Source organism: Homo sapiens, chromosome 4 (genome assembly GCF_000001405.40).
Source record: "Homo sapiens chromosome 4, GRCh38.p14 Primary Assembly".
NCBI lineage: Eukaryota > Metazoa > Chordata > Mammalia > Primates > Hominidae > Homo > Homo sapiens.
This window is the reverse complement of record NC_000004.12, coordinates 138,090,588-138,111,646: the sequence shown is the minus strand read 5'-3', so window position 1 is coordinate 138,111,646 and position 21,059 is coordinate 138,090,588. Positions and strand designations below refer to the sequence as shown.

The 21,059-nt window shown below is 38.6% G+C and overlaps 2 long non-coding RNA genes across 2 annotated transcripts in view; one reads left to right on the top strand and one right to left on the bottom strand.

Moving 5' to 3' along the window:
• LINC00616 (long intergenic non-protein coding RNA 616) overlaps positions 1-21,059 on the top strand; it is a 103,264-nt gene that overhangs the window by 19,039 nt on the left and 63,166 nt on the right. The window contains exons 4-7 of the long non-coding RNA NR_037866.1: positions 13,134-13,194; positions 13,375-13,488; positions 16,227-16,363; positions 20,608-20,704. This is a non-coding gene — a long non-coding RNA (long intergenic non-protein coding RNA 616). The remainder of the gene's footprint in view (positions 1-13,133; positions 13,195-13,374; positions 13,489-16,226; positions 16,364-20,607; positions 20,705-21,059) is intronic.
• The window catches only part of SLC7A11-AS1 (SLC7A11 antisense RNA 1), an 89,164-nt gene that overhangs the window by 66,531 nt on the left and 1,574 nt on the right, over positions 1-21,059 (bottom strand). Inside the window, exons 2-3 of the long non-coding RNA NR_038380.1 lie at positions 20,667-20,813; positions 5,856-7,140 (exon numbers count right to left, since the gene is read on the bottom strand). This is a non-coding gene — a long non-coding RNA (SLC7A11 antisense RNA 1). The remainder of the gene's footprint in view (positions 1-5,855; positions 7,141-20,666; positions 20,814-21,059) is intronic.

Below are 21,059 nucleotides of genomic sequence, written 5' to 3'. Positions count from 1 at the left end.
ATGGATCAGCTGGCGCCACCTAGACTGGTGAACTGGCTCATCTGGTCTTGTTGTCCCCACCCAAGAACCTACTCAGTGCAAGAGAACAGCTTCAACCCTCGCAAATTAGCTTTAAAAAACCCTAGCCTCCAAATTTTTGGGAGGCTGCTTTGAGTAATAATAAAACTCTTGTCTCTTGTTTAGCTGGCTCTATGTGTATTAAACTCTGTCTTGTATTTCCCTTGTCTTGATAAATCAGCTTTATCTGGGCAGCAGGCAAGAAGAACCAGTTGGGTGGTTACAAAATGAATAGTTCACAGGCAGTGATGGGGCTCACATCATCCCAAAATATGATTGTAGGAGACCAGTATATACAACCCTAAAATATGCCTCTGTGGCATATTATTTTGAGAAACTGCAGACATAAAAGCAGCTCTGAAAAGTTGATCCTTTGTAAGAGAAATTGACATCTATAATGAAAATCTCTATTTGTAAGGGTGTCTCCCTCTCTGCACCCTGAAGAGAGAGATGAGTAATTGGAGAAGATATTGACTTAAATCTGCATAACAAACCTTATCTTTGTTTAAGGTGCTTTTCCTGGTCATATCATAACCAGGCCTTTCCCCACATCCTTCTTTCTTTGTTTCAGAGAACAATGGTATGTAAGCCTGAAGTTTAAATGCTTTTCTTTGAGATCTACTCTAGAGAATTACTCATTTCCTAGCTGTCTCATATAAAAATATACATGTTAATAAACGTGTTTATTTTCCTGCTATTAATGTATCTTTTGTTAGAGAGAGTCCCACATGAGAAATATGAATTGTAGGGAAAATTATTTTTTCTCCCCTACAACAACTAGAAAGTAAGGAGGGTTATTAGTAGCAGAGTCAAAAAGAAGAAAGCATACACTGGAAAAAATTGTAACTCATATAAAAACAAAACAGATCTAATTTTCTTAATATGTAAAAGGTTTCCATAAATGAGTAAGACTAATTACCTACTAGAAAAATGTGAAAATTATATAAGCAGATAATTCATTAAAAAGAGATACACATAACCCTTAAAATATGAAAAGGTGCTGAACTTGAATCATAATGAAAGAAATAAAACATAAAATTACACTGCAATAACATCTCTCACCTATAAAGATTGATAAAGATATGTAAGTTTGATACACAGTCTTATCAAGAATGTGGGAGAAATGTGAACTTCACATATTGCTTGAGAAAGTATAAATTGGTACAACACATATGGAGAATAAATGAAAATATTTACCATAATTTTATACTCTCTGATGGAACAATTCCAATTTATTCTGTGAGTATACTAGTATGTTTTTGCAAAATGATATATGTGTTACAGAAAGGGGTCCCAATCCAGACCCCAAGAGCAGGTTCTTGGATCTCATGCAAGAAAGAATTCAGGGCAAGTCTACAGTGCAAAGCAAAAGCAAGTTTATTAAGAAAGTAAAGTGGGCCAGACATGGTGGCTCATGCCTGTAATCCTAGCACTTTGGGAGGCCAAGGTGACAGATCACTTGAAGTCAGGAGTTCGAAACTAGCCTGGCATGGAAAACCCCAAGTCTACTAAAAAAACAAAAATTAGCCAGGCATGGTGGTGTGCACCTGTAATCCCAGCTACTCGGGAGGCTGAGGCAGGAGAATTGCTTGAACAAGGAGGCGAAGGTTACAGTGAGCCGAGATCATGCCACTGCACTCCAGCCTGGGCAACAGAGCTAGACTCTGTCTCAAAAAAACAAACAAACAAACAAAACAAAACAAAATTAATTAAATAAATGAAAGTAAAGTGGTGAAAGGACAGCTACTCCATAGACAGAATAGGACGTTCCTGAAAGTAAGAGGAGGAACGTGTCCACCCTAGTTACAATGCTTGTATATATATGTATATATATACATAGGATAAAAATAGATCTTGGGGAGATGTGCTCTGCTACAAGAGTTTGTGATAAAGGATTAATTTTATTAATTACTATATTTTGCAATAATTGATACTATTATCTTTAAAGCAAAACTATGAATGCCTTTGTTCTCCAGATAGCAGGATATCTGGACACTCCCAAGTCTGGGTCTGTTTCGTAAGCATTATTAATTTGTTCCCTTAACCATAAACCTCTAGAGGCTAAGGATGCCTCATTTTCTGGAAATGTAGCCCAGCAAGTCCCAGACTCATTTTCCTAGCCCTCACTCAAAATGGAGTTGCTCTGGTTCAAATGCCTCTGACATATGTACAGGACTATTAATTCCATCATTGCTCATAATAACAAAAGTTAAAAATCATTTAGAGTTTCATAAATAGGAGAGTGATTAAATATACTATACTACAACCCTGACATAAAATACTATACAGCTATATGGGAATAATGCTATACTCTCTATACTAATATGAAAACACCTCTCTCCAAAACACAATCATTTAGTGGAAAAAAGCAGTGTTCAGAACACACTGCATAGCACCCTACTATTTGTGTAAAACCAGAGCAAACTTGTCTTTGCTAATTTATGCATAAATATTTTTGGAAACACAAAGTTAGCCAATGAGAAGTGAAAGGGAACAGCATGAAACAATAGTGCAAAGGAGACTTTTCACTACCTGCCTCTAAATATGTTTGGATTTTGGACTATGTGAATGCAATATCTTTTGTAATTGCCTGATAGGATTTTTTTCTGCCAACTGCACACACAAAATCAATTCACTGAGACCACAGTATTGCACCAAAGAAAGAGTTTCATTGATGCAAGAGGAGCTATGCTGAAGATGGGGTTATTACTCAAACCAATCTCCCCAAAGGCTTGGAGGTTAGGGTGTTTCAAGTATAGTTTGGTGGGCATGGGGCTAGGGAATGGGTGCTACTGATTGGTTTGGGATGAAATCATAAGGGTGTGGAAAATGGTTCTCTTGTGCTGAGTCTGCCTCTGGGTGGGAGCCACATGACTGGTTGAGTCAAGAATCACAGATCTGGGTGAAATCAGCCAGCCATCAGAAATGCAAAAATCTGAAAAAACATCTCAAAAGACCAATCTTAGGTTCTATAACAGTGATGTCATCTACAGGAGTAATTGGGGAAATTATAAATTTTGTGACCTCCTGAACAATGGCTGGTTATATTTTAGCAGATTTAGGCTCCCTTCATAATGCTAGCCTTACGGCCTTTCATTAGTTTTACAAAGGCAGTTTAGTTTTGGGGAAGGGCAATTATCATCCTTGCTTTAAGGTTAAACTATAAAATAATTCTTCCCAAAGTTAGCTTGGCCTATGCCCAGAAATGACCAAGTACAGCTTGGAGGTTAGAAGAAAGATGGAGTCAGCTATGTCAGATTTCTCTCACTGTCACAATTTTTCAAAGGTGGCTTCACTATTTGAAAAAATGAATTTTTTTTTAAAAAAAAGAAAAAGAGGAAGGAATAAATACTTCCAATCTTGGCAGTCAGGAAAGCCTTTAGAAAGGAAGTGGTAGTTGAGCTGAATTTTGGAAGATGGGCAGTTCAAGCAAAGAGGAAAGAGAAATGAATGGCATGAGGAAATACTCAGAAATATGAAAATATGTGGAGGGTCAGCAAAACCATAAAAAGACACTTGGAAGGAAGCTTCAAAGAGCGAAAAAGAGAGCAGTGATATATAAAACAAAGGAAGTGGAAAGCTCCAGGAAGGAGGGCATGATCATTAGCATCAAAAGCTGCCAGGAGGTCACCTAAGGCTGCAGCACTCCCGCCGTTTATCTGCAGTTTATCTGCAGTTGATCTCCACTTTCTGCTCTTGACTTTTTGCCACTGGACACTGTGGTTACAGGCGTTGGTTTTGTTTCTAGTTTTGCTAACCAGTGATTTGCAGATTCTTTGCTATCAATGTGTTTCTTTGTTAGGCACTTGGATAATGAAAAAGGTAACAGATATAACAGATGACTTTAAAAATTTTTAAATCTATTTTGTGAGAAAAAATTGCATCAGCTAAAGAGCTTATGGACAATTAGAACGCAGTATACCTAAAAATGCAAAATAGTACAAACAAATTTATGATTTTCATAGCACTTAGTTTGTTAAGATACATTACAGGGCTTATTGAGCGGTAATCAAATGAGGTAGCACATATAATAATAAACCGTCATGGAGTACGGTATGAATAGAAGGAATGCTGATGAAGACAATAATGACGATGCAAACATAATGATATCTCGAAACGAAGGGAACATTTCACCCTAGCTCTGTGTTTTCCTTTGTGCTTAAGCCTGTTCCTCCCCATGCTTTTTCTTCAGAACGTTCCATAACTGTGTGGTTAAATGGATAAAACTGGCCAGAATTCCAAAAAAAGCTTCATGAATTTATGTTGGGAAAAGGAGCAGGACATTCAGGAAATAAGAAGAGACTGGATGATGTTGACAGAAGGAATAGCAGGAGCACAACTCTAGTCTCCTGAAAGGGTGTGGCTTGTTCTAGCTCCAGGGAATGGGAAGAGTCTGCAGTTCTGACTGATCATAAACTAGGCATGCGATAGCGGCCTGATCATTTCACCTTTCTCAATTTCAACTTGATTACCTATAAAACGACAAGATCAGTGGTTTCAAATTTTTCTTTTAGAAGTGCAATTTTATTTTTCTTAGGTAAACTGTGCTTAAAAGACCAGTAGACAGAACAGTGGTAGGAGTTGCTCTGGCTGGAGCAAGTATGGGCAACCAGCTGCCCTCTTTTCTCACTGCCTTTTGAGATGGCCTCTGAATGAAGCACCATAATCCAGTAAATGAGGGAATTGGACCGTCTTATGGCCCATTCAAGTTCTAGTTTTTTCTTGTTTTTGTTTTTGTTTTGAGACAGAGTCTCATGTCACCAGGCTGGAGTGCAGTGGTGCGATCTTGGCTCACTGCAACCTCTGCCTCTCGGGTTCAAGTGGTTCTTCTGCCTCAGCCTCCTGAGTAGCTGGGACTACAGGCACACGCCAACACACCCGGCTAGTTGTTTTTTTTTTCTTTTGTATTTTTAGTAGATACGAGGTTTCACTATGTTGGCCAGGCTGGTCTCGAACTCCTGACCTCGCGATCTGCCCACCTCGGCCTCCCAAAGTGCTGGGATTACAGGCATGAGCCACTGTGCCCGGCCTCTAGTTTTTAAAATTGTCCATGGCTTTAGTATTCTGAGAGCACTGAAAAGGTGATTAGTTAAAGGATGAGATTATTCTAAAAAACATTTCTCAATGTCTTCTTTGATCATTTCAGTAGTATTTCAACTTTGGATTATAAAAAAGCTATTTCCTTGGGCATCATGGTGGTCTAGGAACCCCAATAACCTTACTGAGATACCTATATACCAACCTCGGAATCTTATAACTGAAAGATACATGGGTTGGCAGTTATATAAACCTCAAAGGCAAATACAATGTGAGCTGTTTAAAAGTCTCAACTTAATATCAAACTATGCTTACTGGCATTATATTATTCTCCTATAATATATGCACAGGAAAATAAATTATTTTATAACAGAGAGCAATGTATCAAAAAGCTAATTTTCCTCACAGCATAGATAGTTCTCTATATTTCATTATGTCACATGCACAGTGAAAGGTTATTGTGTTAGCGTGTTAGGGCTCTCCAGAGAAACAGAGTCAATAGGAGATATATATATATTATTTCCTATTATATATGTAAGTATATATATAAATATTTAGGTTGGTGCAAAAGTAATTGTTTTGGACATTACTTTCAATGGCAATAAGGGTTTTGGACATACTTTCAATGGAAAAACCTCAATTACATTTGCATCAACCTTATACACACACACACACACACACACATTCACACATATATATGAGATTTATATATACATATATAATTATATATATGTGAGATTTATTATAATAAATTGGCTTACTTGGTTATGGAGTCTGAGAAGTCCCATGAAGTCCCACGATCTGCCATCTGCAAGCTGGAGACCCAGGAAAGCCAGAGGTGTAATTTGAAGGCCTGAGAACTGGAGAGCTGATAGTGTACATTCCAGTCTGAGTCTGGAAGAGCACTGAGAGCCGGAGAAGATTGATGTCTCAGCCCCAGCAGTCAGCAGAGATTGAATTCAGCCTTCCTCAGTCTTTGTTTCATTTAAGCCCTCAATGGATAGGACAATTCCCACCAACACTGACGAGGGCCATCTGCTTTACTCAGTCCACCCATTCAAATGCTAATCTGTGTCTCTTTCTTCTCCTTTTTTCTTTTTTGTTTTTTTGTTTTTTATGAGATAGGGTCTCACTTTATCACCCAGGCTGGAGTACAATCTTGGCTTACCACAACCTCCGCCTCGCAGGCTCAGGAAATTCTCATGCCTTAGCCTCCCTAGTAGCTGGGACTACAGGTGTGTGCCACCACATCCGGCTAAACTTTGTATTTTTTAGTACAGACGGTGTTTTGCCATGTTGCCCAGGCTGGTCTCAGACTCCTGAGCTCAGGCAATCTGCCCACCTCGGCCTCCCAAAGTACTAGGATTACAGGCATGAGCCACCACACCTGGCCTTCAGATGCTAATCTCTTACAGAAACACCCTCACAGACACCTCCAGAAATAACGTTTAATCAGATACCTGGGCATTCTATAAGCTCAGTCAAGTTGACATGCAAAATTAATCACTAGTCATGAAATTCAAAGCTTAAATGTAGTTATGATTTGTGGTAAACTTTTAGGCTATACTTAATCAATCTACATTGTTTTATTATAAAGAGATGGTACCACCCTAATAGTTTGTTGATTCATATTTCTAACCCTTACATGTTGTTTAACTTAATGTTGGTAAGCCAGCTTCTTGCTTTCCAAAAAATAAAATACGTCGATGCTGCCTAACTGCAATTAACCAACATTCTTAAAGCATTTGCCAAAATGGATTGTTTATGAGAACTCATGGTGCTCAGCACTCACTTTCTTCAATAAAATCAATTGAAAAGGTCTAACTGTTGGTGAGTGAAGACTGTGGCGGCTTTAGCTGCCTTCTGATTGCTTGGGCAGATGTGTGTCAGCATGCTTTCTCTTCTTCTGGGGAGTGAAGGAAGTCCCTTTATGTGTGTGCCCAGGACTGGCTCCTGTTCCTGGAATAAATACCATCATGTTGTGCAGTCTTGCAGTTTCTAGTAAGTGCTGTGCATGATTGGCATGTCCTTCAGAAAGCAGCGAGCCTGGATAGGAGACAGAAGGGAAAGCGAGAATGATATCAATAGCCTCCAAGGGGATTTATTTTAAAGCCTGCCATGTTGTCAACATTGTTTCAATACGACAGCTGAGGCTTTTGCCAAGTATTGAACATCTGACCCCATTTGGCTCGTCACTTTAAGCTGTGCTTTTTTCTAAATGGAAGGGCTGACCCTCCGAGAAACCGTAGTCTGTGTTTGGTTCATCACCGAGTTCAAGATGATTATCTGAAGTTTGTTTGAACCTCAAGGGAGAATAAAATTGAACTGAAAATCTCGCCCCAGCAAATTTCCCCAGTGATGTTTGGCCCTTCGGCTTTTGCTTAGAAATGACATAAAAGCAGCTTTTGTCCCCTGGTCATTTGGGACTGGATGGTAGATTCCAGACATATCATATGCCATTCTGGTGATAATCCAGCAGGGAAAGAAATGTATTTAATCATTTTTGAAATGAGAAATACGACATGGAGTTTAATTTCAGCTTAAACATTAAGTTGTGTTTCTTTTGCTGATAGATATTGTCATATACAACAGTTTATGCATTTCAACTTCCAGAGACTGAGAATTTTCCTACTAAAAATTCAACAGCTAGGATAAGTGAAATCTAAGCTTTCAGAAATAGTCAATAACAATGCAAACTTTGAAGTTAGACTTGGGTTTAAATTTTGACTCTACCACTTCTTAGAGACGAAACCAAGAGCAAATTATTAACCTCTCTGAACTTTGCTCTACTTATCTTTAAAACAAGGTCAACAGTGCCCCCTTTATAGGCCTGAAATAAAGATTATATAACCTCTAAGTATAGTGTCTGGATCTTAGTAAATTCTTTATAAATGGTGACAATTTTTATGTAATAAACAGAGAACACAGTAGATACGTAAAATATGCAATAAGCCTGTAAATTTGTTTTATTCATATTTGCCACTAATCCTTCCAAGGTAATAGATCTTATTAAAAACAATAATTACAGTAATGCAATGATACCTTTGGAGGGATATTATTTTACTAAACATTGCCATTTTACTTTATAAATGTTTAAAAGAAAGGAATTGTGTCTTTATACTTCACTGCATATTGTAGGTACTTGCTATGTTTTGCTCTAAAAAACTGACATACCACACTATCAACCAATATTTTAACAATTTTTAAATAACAGAACTTTATGTATAATATTAAGAAATGAAAGGCATTTTTATCTTGGAGATCATAATTTAACAAGTTTTGATCTTCAAATTTTTGTCTTCCTAAAAGAAGGAACATTATCATTCTTTGAATTGTAAACAATTATGCCAGGAATGAGGAATAGTCCCAAGCTGGCTGTGGAATTTGCAGTAGTATTGAGATGGCTTAATCTGACAGTTGAGGACCAAAATGTGTTAACTAGCTTTGTGGCATTTCAGCTGGACTATGTGGATAACTTTCCTTTCTAAACATTTATCTGGTGATATCATGTATCCTCATATAATCAAATCAATGATAAAATAGGAGTGGATTAGTGGGTTGGTTCATGACTATCCACATCGTTTATTTAGCACAGTAAGATGCTATATATATATATAATTTTTTGTTGTTGTTTGTTTGTGTTTTAGACAAGGTCTTGTTCTGTCACCCAGACTGGAGTGCAGTGGCATGATCATGGCTCACTGCAGCCTTGACGTCCTGGGCTCAATGATCCTCCCACCTCAACCTCCTGAGTAGCTGGAACCACAGGCATGTGCCACCATGTCTGACTGATTTTAAAATTTCTTGTAGAGAGGGGATGTCACTATGTTACTCAGTTTGGTCTTGAACTCCTGGGTTCAAGTGATCCTCCCACTTCAGCCTCCCAAAGCACTGGGATTACAGGTGTATGCCACTGCACCCAGCCAAGATGCAAAATTTTAAGTATTTAAAATTTTCTGTATTTAAATTGGTAGTTCTAGCCCAGGCATGGCAGCTCACCCCTGTAATCCCAACACTTTGGGAGGTACAGGCAGAAGGATCACCTGAGCCCAGGAGTTTAAGGCTGCAGTGAATTAGGATCCTAGGACTGTGCCACTGTACTCGAGGCTGGATGACAGAGTGAGACCCTGTCTCATAATAACAACAACAAAAATACATCTGTACTTCTAACCATAATTTTTTTCTTTTTAAATTCTTTAGTTTAATTATATGGTTCTGTCAATGAAATGGGGAAGCAGTAAAAATTGAGTTAAAAATATTAATTTTAGGGCTGGGCACCATGGCTCACACCTGTAATCCCAGCTCTTTGGGAGGCCAAGGCAGGCAGATCACCTGATGTTAGGAGTTCGAGACCAGACTGGCCAACATGGTGAAACTTTGTCTCTATTAAAAATACAAAAATTAGCCAGGTGTCGTGGTGTGTGCCTGTAATTCCAGCTATTCAGGAGGTTGAGGCATGAATATTGCTTGCACCAGGGAGGAGGAGGTTGCAGTGAGCTGAAATCATGCCACTGTAATCCAGCCTGGGCAACAGAGTAATATTCTACCTAAAAGAAAAAAAAAGATATTAATTTTGATATATTAGGGGAGGTAGCAGAATTTGAGCTATTATATGGGGTACAGCAAAGCTAAACTGCCTGATTTATTGTATGGCTAGAAATGCAAACAAAGTCAATTCCAAAAGTGGTGTTTTCAAAATACTTAGAACAAAGCTATCAATAGAATAATAGCTTCTTGGGGAGGCTCCTTTTAAGAAAAATATCCATTAGAATGGCAGGTAGTTTTAATGCATAAACAATTTTATTCCTTTATAGTCACACACCATGCTGTTTTACTTAAGAACTTGGTCTTTTCCTGAATACCAGCCCTATGCTACTCACTTTCACTATGTCACGCCAATAGAAAACTGAAAATTATAAAATAAAGCATTAGAAACTCTTTTAAATTTTTTATCAAAAGAAATCTATTTGTTATTAGCAGCCAATGATTATGTCTTCCTAGTCAACCTTAAACATGAGTCGACATGGATAGGAAAATAACACAGTAGATGCCTTGATTGCTTTTAGCTCTCTGAAAATAGGCACTTAATTTCCTTCACAGAAAAAAAAATTTTTTTCTTTAAAGTTGACTAGTTAAGTGTAGGAGTAATCAAAGCAGCCAACTCTGGAGCAAAAGGCAGTGACTTACGATTTGGTCCATTTACTTAGTGCATGAATTTGTTTTCTAAACTGTATCATGGGGTAATAATAGGACTGATAATCATAAGTAGGACTGTAAGAAGGATGGCATGAAAATATTTGAAACAGATGATGGTGCATGTGTTTAGAAAGACTACAAGAAAGGCTAGTGTCTTTCAGGTTCTGTGTATGTTTCCCTGGATTTAACTTCAACCTCTCATATTACATTTTTTATTTTTAAAAAATTGTATGTTCTTAGGAATTCAGAAACTAGACAGTCAACATTTCCGGCTGAAGTCAGTTACGTGGTAGACATTCTCTGAGCTCATGCTAAGATATTTTTCTTTTCTTTTTAAAATATCTTATGTCTTAACCATTTTCTCCTCTGACATTTGTTTTTCTATCACCTTAATGACTTAAGGAATATAAACTGGACTTATTGTTTTGCTGAATGTCTGATCATTCTAATGGCACCTGACTTATCCAAATTTCCCCAGAGAAATGACTAAATTCAGTAGGAAAATTATTTCATTGGTCTTATGCATCACACATAAGACAGTAATATTCTTTCTCTTTTTAATAATAGCATTACTTTGTTGGTAATTACTTCTGTTAATTTCACTGAAGGCATTTTAAAAAATGAATTATACTCTACCTATCTCTTCATAACTGTGTTCTATTAGTTTCTGAACACTTCTCCATTTAATCAGGGCTGTTTTGAATACCTCTTCTATTCTTATTCTACTAAGAATGCCTGGGTACTTGAAAGATTAAAAAATAAATAAATAAAACAAATTTAATCATAACTAAAACCTCATTGAATTTTTTTTATACTCTTTATTAGTGGGTGTGATCTCAAAGGGGTCTTGTTTTATCTCTCATAGACGGAGTTGATAAAGAAAGTTGTAATTCAAATTCTGCTAAAATTAATCTTAAAACAATTAAAGTATTGTATATTGCACAATTAACTGTAGTCTAAATCTCTGCCATACTTTCTAGCTTACTCTCATAGTGTAATCAGCACAAGCAATATAGATCATGCCTACTATGGATTGCTATAAAATACATGAAATGGCCAGAGAGTATACAATACCACTGGGATGCATTTTTTTTTAAGATGGAGTCTTGCTCTTGTCACCCAGGCTGAAGTGCAATGTCACGATCTTGGCTCACTGCAACCTCCGCCTCCCGGGTTCAAGCAATTCTCTCTGCTTCACCCTCCCAAGTAGCTGCGATTACCAGTGACTGCCACACACCGGGCTAATTTTGTATTTTTAGTAGAGACGAGGTTTCGCCATGTTGGCCAGGCTGGTCTCGAACTCCTGACCTAAGGTGCCCTGCCCACCTCGGCCTCCCAAAGTGTTGGGATTACAGGCATAAACCACAGTGCTGGACTGCATTTTTATAAAATTACTTCTCCTAAATACAACCTGTTAATAGCATGAGGATGCTTCATACCAATTTTTCTTTCTCTGTGCTTCAGTATTTTTTTCTTTCACTGTATTATTATTAGTGTGTACTAAGGAGTAGCTCTTTCAAATAGAGTGGTTTTTTTTTTCAGCTAGAAATCTTGGTATCTCCTGTTCTCCCCTTGATCCGCTCTCCTTGTATGTCTGCTGTTTCTCAACCACCTCATACAAGGATAAAGAGGTGGTGGTCTCCTTGAGCTTTTAAGAGTCTTTGAATGAATCTTAAATTGTTTAGAGGCTTTTCTCTCCTATCTAGAGTCTTTCGAAACTGTGACTCAATTTTTTTCTTGTTTGTACAGTCAGCCCTTTGTCTTTGGGGGTTCCACATCTGTAGAGTCAACAAATCAGATTGAAAATATTTGGGAAAAAATTTGCATCTGTACCAAACATGTTCAGACGTTTTCTTCTCATTCCTTAAGCAAAACAGTATAACAACTATTTACATAGCATTTATATTGTTAGGTATTATAAGTAATCTAGATACAATTTAAAGTATATGGTAGTATGTGAGTAGGTTATATGCAAATACCACACCATTTTATATCAGAGATTTGAGCATCTGTGGATTTTGGGATCTGCAGGAGCTTCTGGAATCAATGCCCCAAAGCCCATGGATATTGAGGGACAACTGTACTTGGAACTGATATGTGTTGCTTGGAAATTAAAATTCCTAGTCTAAAGCTTTAAAAGTGGCTAGCCTAATAAAAATTTCAAGGTCACTTTTTTAAGAAAACATACCATTACCTAACACAGAAAAAGAATTAGTTTACAAAGAAAACATAGACAAATTTGGTCAAAGATATTGAGGCAAGGAAATAAAAAGGAACCATGAAAAGCTGAGCTAAAAGGATGTTTTCCAATTTAGAAAAAGAGAGTCATCTTCTAAAATCCTTTTGAAAATAGTGCAGAAGCCATAAAGTATATAATTATTTCTCTACTCTAAAAATGGTATATGATTGAAACAACATAATATTCTGGGGGGGAAAAAACCCAAATCACTTCAGTTATATTTGTGCTTTGTTCTTATAAGCCATTTCAATTTGCTGAAGCCAGAGGACTATTAACCTAGTCTCTGAAATTTTGAAGTGTCCTGAATCCTGTTTTCCGTGAACAACTAAAACTCGATTATATACATAAAGTGAAATTTCAATAACTGAACATATGATTGTAAGATCTTATGAAGGGATGATAATCAACAGAATTAATGAGAGTGTTTAATTTCATGCAGCAATTTTCACAAAAGGTAGAGCACAACAGTAAACTCCATGAGTTGCATTGTAATCAAGCTCCTCTTGTAATGAATGCAGGCCCTTAATTTATTGAAACTAATTTTGAAATCATGGTACCATACATGCTGTCTACTGTAGAAATAATTTATAAACATTAATTCCAGGAAAGAGAGGATCCATTTGCTTCAAAGAGCCCATCAGCAAGCTGTCCTTCCTGTTTTATCAGTAAGCAAAGCTGAGAGCAAATAACAGATGGGACTGTCCCTTGGTGGTGGCGCAGAGCATGCATGAAATATAGCACAATCTTCCTCCAGTGTGTTATGCTTTTAACAGTGGAAGATCAGAGCAGGAGAGGTGTGGGCCAGGATGAATGACTGTCTCTGATGAAACATTCTTCTCTTCTAGCAAGATTCCTGTAGCAGATTGAGCTCTGGCAGTTGATCTCAGTGGCTTGATAGAGTGTCATTATAAAAACGCACCTGGAAGATTCTGTGGAAAAGACAACCTCAGAAGACCAAGGTGAATCCAAGGCCTGATCTGGACTCTTAATGGGTGGTTAAATTCTAGTTCCTTTAAATAAGCATCAAAGACGCCACAAAACCACAGATAAAGCTGCCATAGACAGCTATATTTGGGACTCATTTATCATTTGTCACAAGCATTTCATCCTCTTGCAATATTTTTTTCTACTTAGTACTTCTACAAGAAGGTGAGTAGTTGTGCATTTGATGTGTGTTGGGGGCTGTGAGGCTAAAATCTTCTGCCTCTGTTGTTTGTGTAACCACACTGAAGGCTGTTACTAGGGCTGTGGAAGCTGGATTTAGTATATGTTATTCCTAATGGAAAAATCTATCAGCCCCACTTCAGTTGCTATTATTAAACAGCTTTTAGTCAGTCAGATACGAAGTGATCCCCAATTCCACTAGTAGATTCATGCTCCGTTCATTATCACTGTTCACAGTAGCTTTTCTAAATGTTTTTCACTTATCCTGGGTTTCTAAGTCTGCCTGATTCCTTCAGCTTTGGACGCTGCTCCTATGTCCTGTTGAAGTGAAAAGATCAAGGCTGCCTGATCTCCTTTAACAAACAACTGTAACCTGCCCCTCTTTGATTTACGATATCATTGTCATCATTAGTCCTTTTTCTCTCTCCTATTTTCGGGAAAATATTACCCTCTTCTTTTAAAAAGTTAATCCACACACATGCTCTTAATTTTACCCATTTCCATTCATTCTTCAATTATCCCCGTGATTACTGAAATATTCAGTCTTTTTCTCTTAAGTGCATTCTCTAATTGACTTGATGAATTTATGTCTTATAAAGAAAATAAACAAAGCATTACTTCCAAATCTGCATTGCCCTTCAAGCTACTATCTCCTCTATTTCTATGAAATTTCTTAAAAGATTAGTCTGTCATCATTAGTTCCTGTAATTGTTCTTCATCTAATTTACTCCTCTCTTTATTGCGGTCTCACTTTCTGCTCCCCAGTCACTTGAAACTGTTCTATCAAAGCATCTAATTCCTAATCTATCAAACACAGTCGTGATCACTTCAGACTATTAGGCATATGAACACTCTTTCTACATTGAGTTTTCAAGTCTTGGCAGAAGGCACGGCTTCATGTCCAAGGATGAAGAGGTAATATGCTTTGTCTTTCTATACTAAGGCAGAGAGGACAAAGGCACATAGCCTTGGTTTGACAAGTCAGATGGTCCCATCTGGGGATAGAGGAAAAACGATCCACAGTGCCACAGTAGCAGCACAGCAGAGACTGGAACAGAGGTGATAGTGCTAGCTAGAGACTCTGTGGTGTCCCAATCTAGCCTTTTCCTATGCAGTGTTTCTTGTTGACAAATCTCCCTTGGTTCCCACTGACTTTCTGAGCCTTCCTGGCTAAGTTTCATATAATTCTGTGAGCTAACTAATATCTTTGCCATAAATTACTTGCTTGCCTTAATTGAAACATATTTGGTTTATCTTCCTTTGAACTAAAGATCTCATTAGTACAGAAAGTCATACTTTGGAATCAGTTTAATGTAATAGAGTTTTAGGGAAAGTGGAGTGAAAAGTCAGCAAGTGGAATTGATTTTCAGACTGGGGCCAAAAGGGGCAAAATTCCACTTGTCCTCACAGACACGATCCTGGTAGCTCATCCTATGCCATGGTGAAGAGCTAACTAAACAGTGCCTTTGGTCCCTGTAATGAAAGGCTCTCTTAGAATGAAATGCCTATTCAAGGCGAGGTTTTGGGGAAACCAAGTTGCCACCGTCATTGAAAAGATGAAAGACTGTAGGGATGCACCTGATGTTTGGAGGGCACCGAATAGCTGAAAAAAAAAAAAAAAAAAAAAAAAAAAAGAAATAGGCTGGGCGCAGTAGCTCACGCCTGTAATCCCAGCACTTTGGGAGGCCGAGGCAGGCAGATCACGAGGTCAGGAGATCGAGACCATCCTGGCTAACACGGTGAAACCCTGTCTCTACTAAAAATACACAAAATAGGCTGGGCGTGGTGGCGGGCACCTGTAGTCCCAGCTACTCAGGAGGCTAAGGCAGGAGAATGGTGTGAACCCAAGAGGCGGAGCTTGCAGTGAGCCAAGATGCGCCACTGCACTCCAGCCTGGGTGACAAAGCGAGACTCCGTCTCAAAAAATAATAATAATAATAATAAAAGATAAATGATAAGTTAATCTTCTTAAATTATTGATTATGGCAAAGACTGAGTTCCTGGAACTCTCACAATCCTAACAGAGTCTCAATTCTCTCTAATTCTTTCAACTTTCATGTAGGTGAAAATCAAACTCCAAGTTTGATATTATGATTGCCAAATTATACTATCAGTTGATTTTAGAGTCTTGCCGGTCCTTGTATGAGAAAGTGAGAGACAGCAATGCTCAGAAAACTATAGGACTGGAGGATCCTAAGCATAAGAATTAGACAATGTGGGGTGATTCCAAAGCCTTGAACTCATAGCCTTTTCCCCCTCTGTAGTTGTGTGCTGGAGCCAGCTCTTGCCAGCTCCTGAGATCAACTGCATTTATCTCATCTCTACTCTGTGTCCATGATATGTTGACAATTTGAAGTCAGTTACAAGTATTTGAAATGCCACAATCAGGGCTGTCCCTAACCCCCTTGCCGGAGAATGGATTGTTAAACATTTGCCAGTGCAGTACTGTTAATGGCATCACAGAAGTGCATCCTCCCTTCTTCGATGGAAGCGGCTTTTCTTGCTTGGAGACTGTATTTCCTTTCTTTTTCAGAGGCTGACTTTGCAAGAGAGAGTCCGTTTACCACTTAGAACCGTGAACACCACCCCCGCCCTCATTTATCTCCAGACTTGAACTAGTGGTTAAATCCCAACATGTCCCAGAGAAGTCAAAAGCATTGTAAAATCTGGGTGAGAAGATTTCTTTCTTTTGATCTTATGACAACAAAACTTGGGACTATGTGTACTAGTAATTGACCTTGGACAGGTAACGTGTAATTTTTCAAAAGAATAAATGTATCACTCTGAGCTTCTATATTGAAAGAGTTACCCAGAGTGGCTACAGTGGGTCTGATTCTTGGCTCATTTGCTTGGTTATAATCTGGGTTTCATGGAGGCTTGGGATAGTGAAGTTGCGATCCTAGAAATCTCTTAAATAATGCAGGGAAGGGTAGCAAGTACTCTGGGTTGGAATTATACATAAATCACCTTCATCCTAATTTATTACCCAAGATGTCTAGAAGATAATTTCTTCACCAATATCTTGAGGAATGTATTGGTGAAGGGAGTTTTGAGGAGAGTTTGTTCTACTGTTCTTCCTAAGCTGAGGATGTTGATGGCAGATGCTTCAGTTGACATGGTTTCCCTGATTGAAATGAAAAGGAAACTATTCTAGGGCAGCAGAGGCCAAGTAGCAGCATTCAAAGGAAGGACGCAAAATCATTGTGGTTATCATAAAAGGCAGCAGGGCAAGCTCATCAGCAGAGTGTTATGTATTACAGAAACCTTTGGTAGTGGTTCACCAGTCACTGGGTCTCTTGACTGAAATAGACGATAGTACATTAGTCCCTCTTGATTTGTGTTACGGAAAACACCCCACACCTGGGAAGTATAGGTCTGACCTGGGTCATCATTATGGGAAGTTGCTCATTCTCTCCCAATTCTCAGACCTGAGTTAACGCCATAATCAAGAATTCTTTGAAGATGGACTCAGCAATAATATCACTTGTTTGTGCAATAAATCTTCCCAGCCTTCAGCAAAGGATCTTTGGCTATTGCAGATATTGCAGATAAATAGCTTTTAATCTGGTTTGCCTATTCTTTGTTCGGGGGTTTATTCAGAATGGCTAGAAAATGCTGTCCTTTTGGAGAAAAAAATTCCAAAGAGCTACTGCTGTTTTACACCAATGATCTAGCAAACAGCATGAATAGTGATATTACATTCTAAGGGTAATGTGCTTTTAGGGGTCAACATTCACATAAACATTTTCAGGTACCAAATGTTACTGTTTTAACTTTGTGACAAAAATAGACTGCTTGCATTTTAGGTCATGCTGATAAAATACTTCCTAGAATCTGGCTACACAGACATTTCATGCCAGGTATTATTTATATGTGAATAAAATGCAACGGAATGTGAATAGAATGCAAAGGAGCTATAAAATTCCATATAGTAAAAATACATACAGTAAACATGCCCTGGAAAACAGAAATAACCAGAGCTTTGGGATATTGTTAAACACCAACTCAGAGCTATCCTGATTCCTGGAGACTGAGAATAACACTGTCTCTACTTATCAGAATGACAAATTGTACTTCAGGTTATAAATTGAGTTTTGATCTCAGTTGGCCTCTAGGTAGTCCAGTCTTGTGGTAATTTTTCTGAGGATATGACTGGAATAGGTCTCTTAAGCAATTGGCAGAATCCCCAAATGGGTCTCTGCACCATGGAGTAGGGCCATTGTGATAGAAAATGCCAAGCTTCTGGTATTGCCCTTACCTACTAAAGCACTAAAATCCAAAGAAGTATTGCATTCATAGATGAATTACGGAAATTAAAAATATCATTAAAAGCCTGAAAGATGTTGGGTTGATGATTCTTTTTGTGTCTCTATTTTGTCCCGTGCTTAGAAGATGTAGCGATACTGAGCGATAAATTGTACCCCTGGATGGTCATTTAACAAATATTTATTCAGTAGCAACCAAGATTCATGCTTTGTGCTAGGTGTCAGGGGTACAATGATGAGCAAATCTTGACATGGTCTTTGCTTTTGTAGCACTGATAATTTAATGGTACAAACTGGACAGTCACTGCTCAAGATAATTCTATAAGCTTGTGTTACAGGGGAACCCTCTGTTGTCCTGGGGTGTGTGTGTATCTGTGTGTCTGTGTATGCAAGGAGTTTTGGAGGAGAAAATGGGAAAGGTAGGAAAAGTCTTACTTCAGCAAGTGATATTTCAGATGAGCTCTAAGGCAGAGGTAGGTGTCAAAGAGCACAGACAAAGGAGTCCGTGCAGTGATTCCATAGCAGGAGAGAAAAGTGTGCTTGAGAAGCGAATGGAAGACAGTACACCTGGAGTGAGGAATGTGAGGTTCAGAGTGACCAAGAGGAGCCTGAAAAGTAGACAGGGACCTGAACTTGCAGGATTTTCTCTGATCTGAATAGCGATGAGAAATCAAGTGTGTGGCTTTAAACAGGGATGACATAATATCATGATTAGACACGTAAAGGAATACTCTGGGTGCAGTATGGGTATGAACAGAGAGCGGCAAGGTATGTTATTGAATTGTTGCAGTGAGAGTTTGTTGTATGGATATAGAAATAGGTAGATAGAGTTATGAGACATTTAGGAATTAATATTAATAGGACTCATGATTGACTGTTGGTGATGGATTGAACACTGGGTGTGAGACAGTAGAAAATGTAAAACAGTGTTCTTATATTTCTGGTTTGCATAGCAGGATATACATAAATATGTATATATATTCATCGTGTATATACTGAATGAGAATAAGATTGGGGCCAATGATCTTAGACCTATAATATTTGAGGGGCCTGACACACATTCATATGAAGATGTTGAGTGAGAAATTAGACATGAGGATAAATAATAGGAACTGGTTTGGTGATGAAATAAATATGGAAGTCATTGGTCCATAGATGGGAAATGAGGTCCATTATGTGGAAAAATGCAGACGGAGGAGAGAAGAGCCCGAGGCTGTGCACGGACAGACATCAGCACATGGGGTAAAAGTGCCCTTTGAGAAACAAAAATAAAATCCTAAGTCCCTAAACCAACTGAATAGACCCCTTCTTGCCCAACGGGACCTCAGAGAAACCTTAAAAATGGAGTTCACAGCCATGACACGATGGGAGGTCAGATGTGCCTCGTATACCTCCTCCCTTGCTAACCGCCACTAGGTTCTCTTCCCTAGGTGTTTAACAGTAACCAGCCCTTTTGAAAGATTCCTTCTGCCACCTATAGGAACCAACTGCCTGATGCTGCCCCTCCCTTTCAGTTTTTTTTTTTAATTTATTTTTTATTTTCATTTTTTGAGATGGAGTTTCACTCTTGTTGACCAGGCTGGAGAGCAATGACACGATCTCGGCTCACTGCAACCTCCACCTCCCAGGTTCAAGTGATTCTTCTGCCTCAGCCTCCCGAGTAGCTGGTATTACAGGTGGCTGCTACCACACCTGGCTAATTTTTTATTTTTAGTAGAGACGGGGTTTTGCCATGTTGGTCAGGCTGGTCTCAAACTCCTGACCTCAGGTGATCCACCTGCCTCGGCCTCCCAAAGTGCTGGGATTACAGGCGTAAGCCACTGCACCTGGCCCTTTTCACAGTTTCGACACAGCAACTGACCAGCATTCCTTCCTGATAAGAGACCATTGACCATGAAGTGCTCCTGGGGCCCGTCTTTGTAGGCTGCCACATAGAGGTTCTTTGTGTCCTCTGGTTCACCTTTTGATGTATAAGGTCTAATTGTAACACATTTAAATGTTAAGTCTTCATCCCAGAGTGAACATGGGATGCATGTTACACATGCTGTGCCTCCCCTTTGTGAATATTTATATCTCCTTCTATGACCTGCTGAATATGTATACTTAGCCACCCTGTTAGCCATAAATCCATCTTATTTTTCCTATCCTACCCTCTACATGCCTGTTTCCAGCTTCTAGCCAGAGGCTACACTTCTCAGTCTGTCAGAATGGTCGCCGGCAGGCTCCAACCCTTCATGAGAAGAACCTTTAAGCTCTCCTTTCAGATTTATGAAGTTAATCACTCTTCAGTTGACACCCTAAAGTGCAGTCAGTAAAGTGTGATGCACTCAGCAAGGACTTACTAAAGGTTTATGGGACCAAAAACAAAACTGGTAAGAGGAAAGAGCACCCTTCAGGCTCTCTGACTTCTTGCCAGCTTAGTCTTGGGTTTGTTTTTACTCTTTAGCTCCATTGCAATGTTTGGCTGGATTTCTCTGGTTCTGATAATCTTGGGTATTAGGTATTTGATGAGGTAATTCAAATAGTGTGTAAAGTGTTTCTTATTGATAAAATGAATTTTGGATACTCTACTTCACGCTCACACTAATTTTTCTTTGTGTGCTTTTTAATACTTAGCAAACTCTATTTTATCTTAAATTCTTCATCTAGGAATCTGCCCACCACTCAAGCCTGGGAAAGCTGGCAGAGGATGCACGTGTTTTACTCACCTGAGTGTTTACAATGCTCGTGAGGTGCCTCCCTGATAGTAAGTGCTGCTCTTTCTTAACATTCTTTTTTCCTTTAAAATTTGTTTCAATCCATGAGGTAAAAAATAATGACGATATAGATAGACGAACAGTTCATGTTGTTTTTCCCTGCAGTCAAATAGACAAAAATTTCAACACAAACTTTTATTCCTGGTATTTGGCTTAAAAGTAAACGTCAGCTACGTCAAGAAGCTAATGGTGTTCTCTGCATATCTCACCAGTTACTGATTCTTCTACTTAATATAAAAATGCATTTCCAAAATCTTACCACTGGGGGGCAGCATCGTGCAAAGCTAGCCTTTAGTTTTTCCTTCCTGTGTCCAGTATAGAGTGCTCCTAATATCTATCACAGAC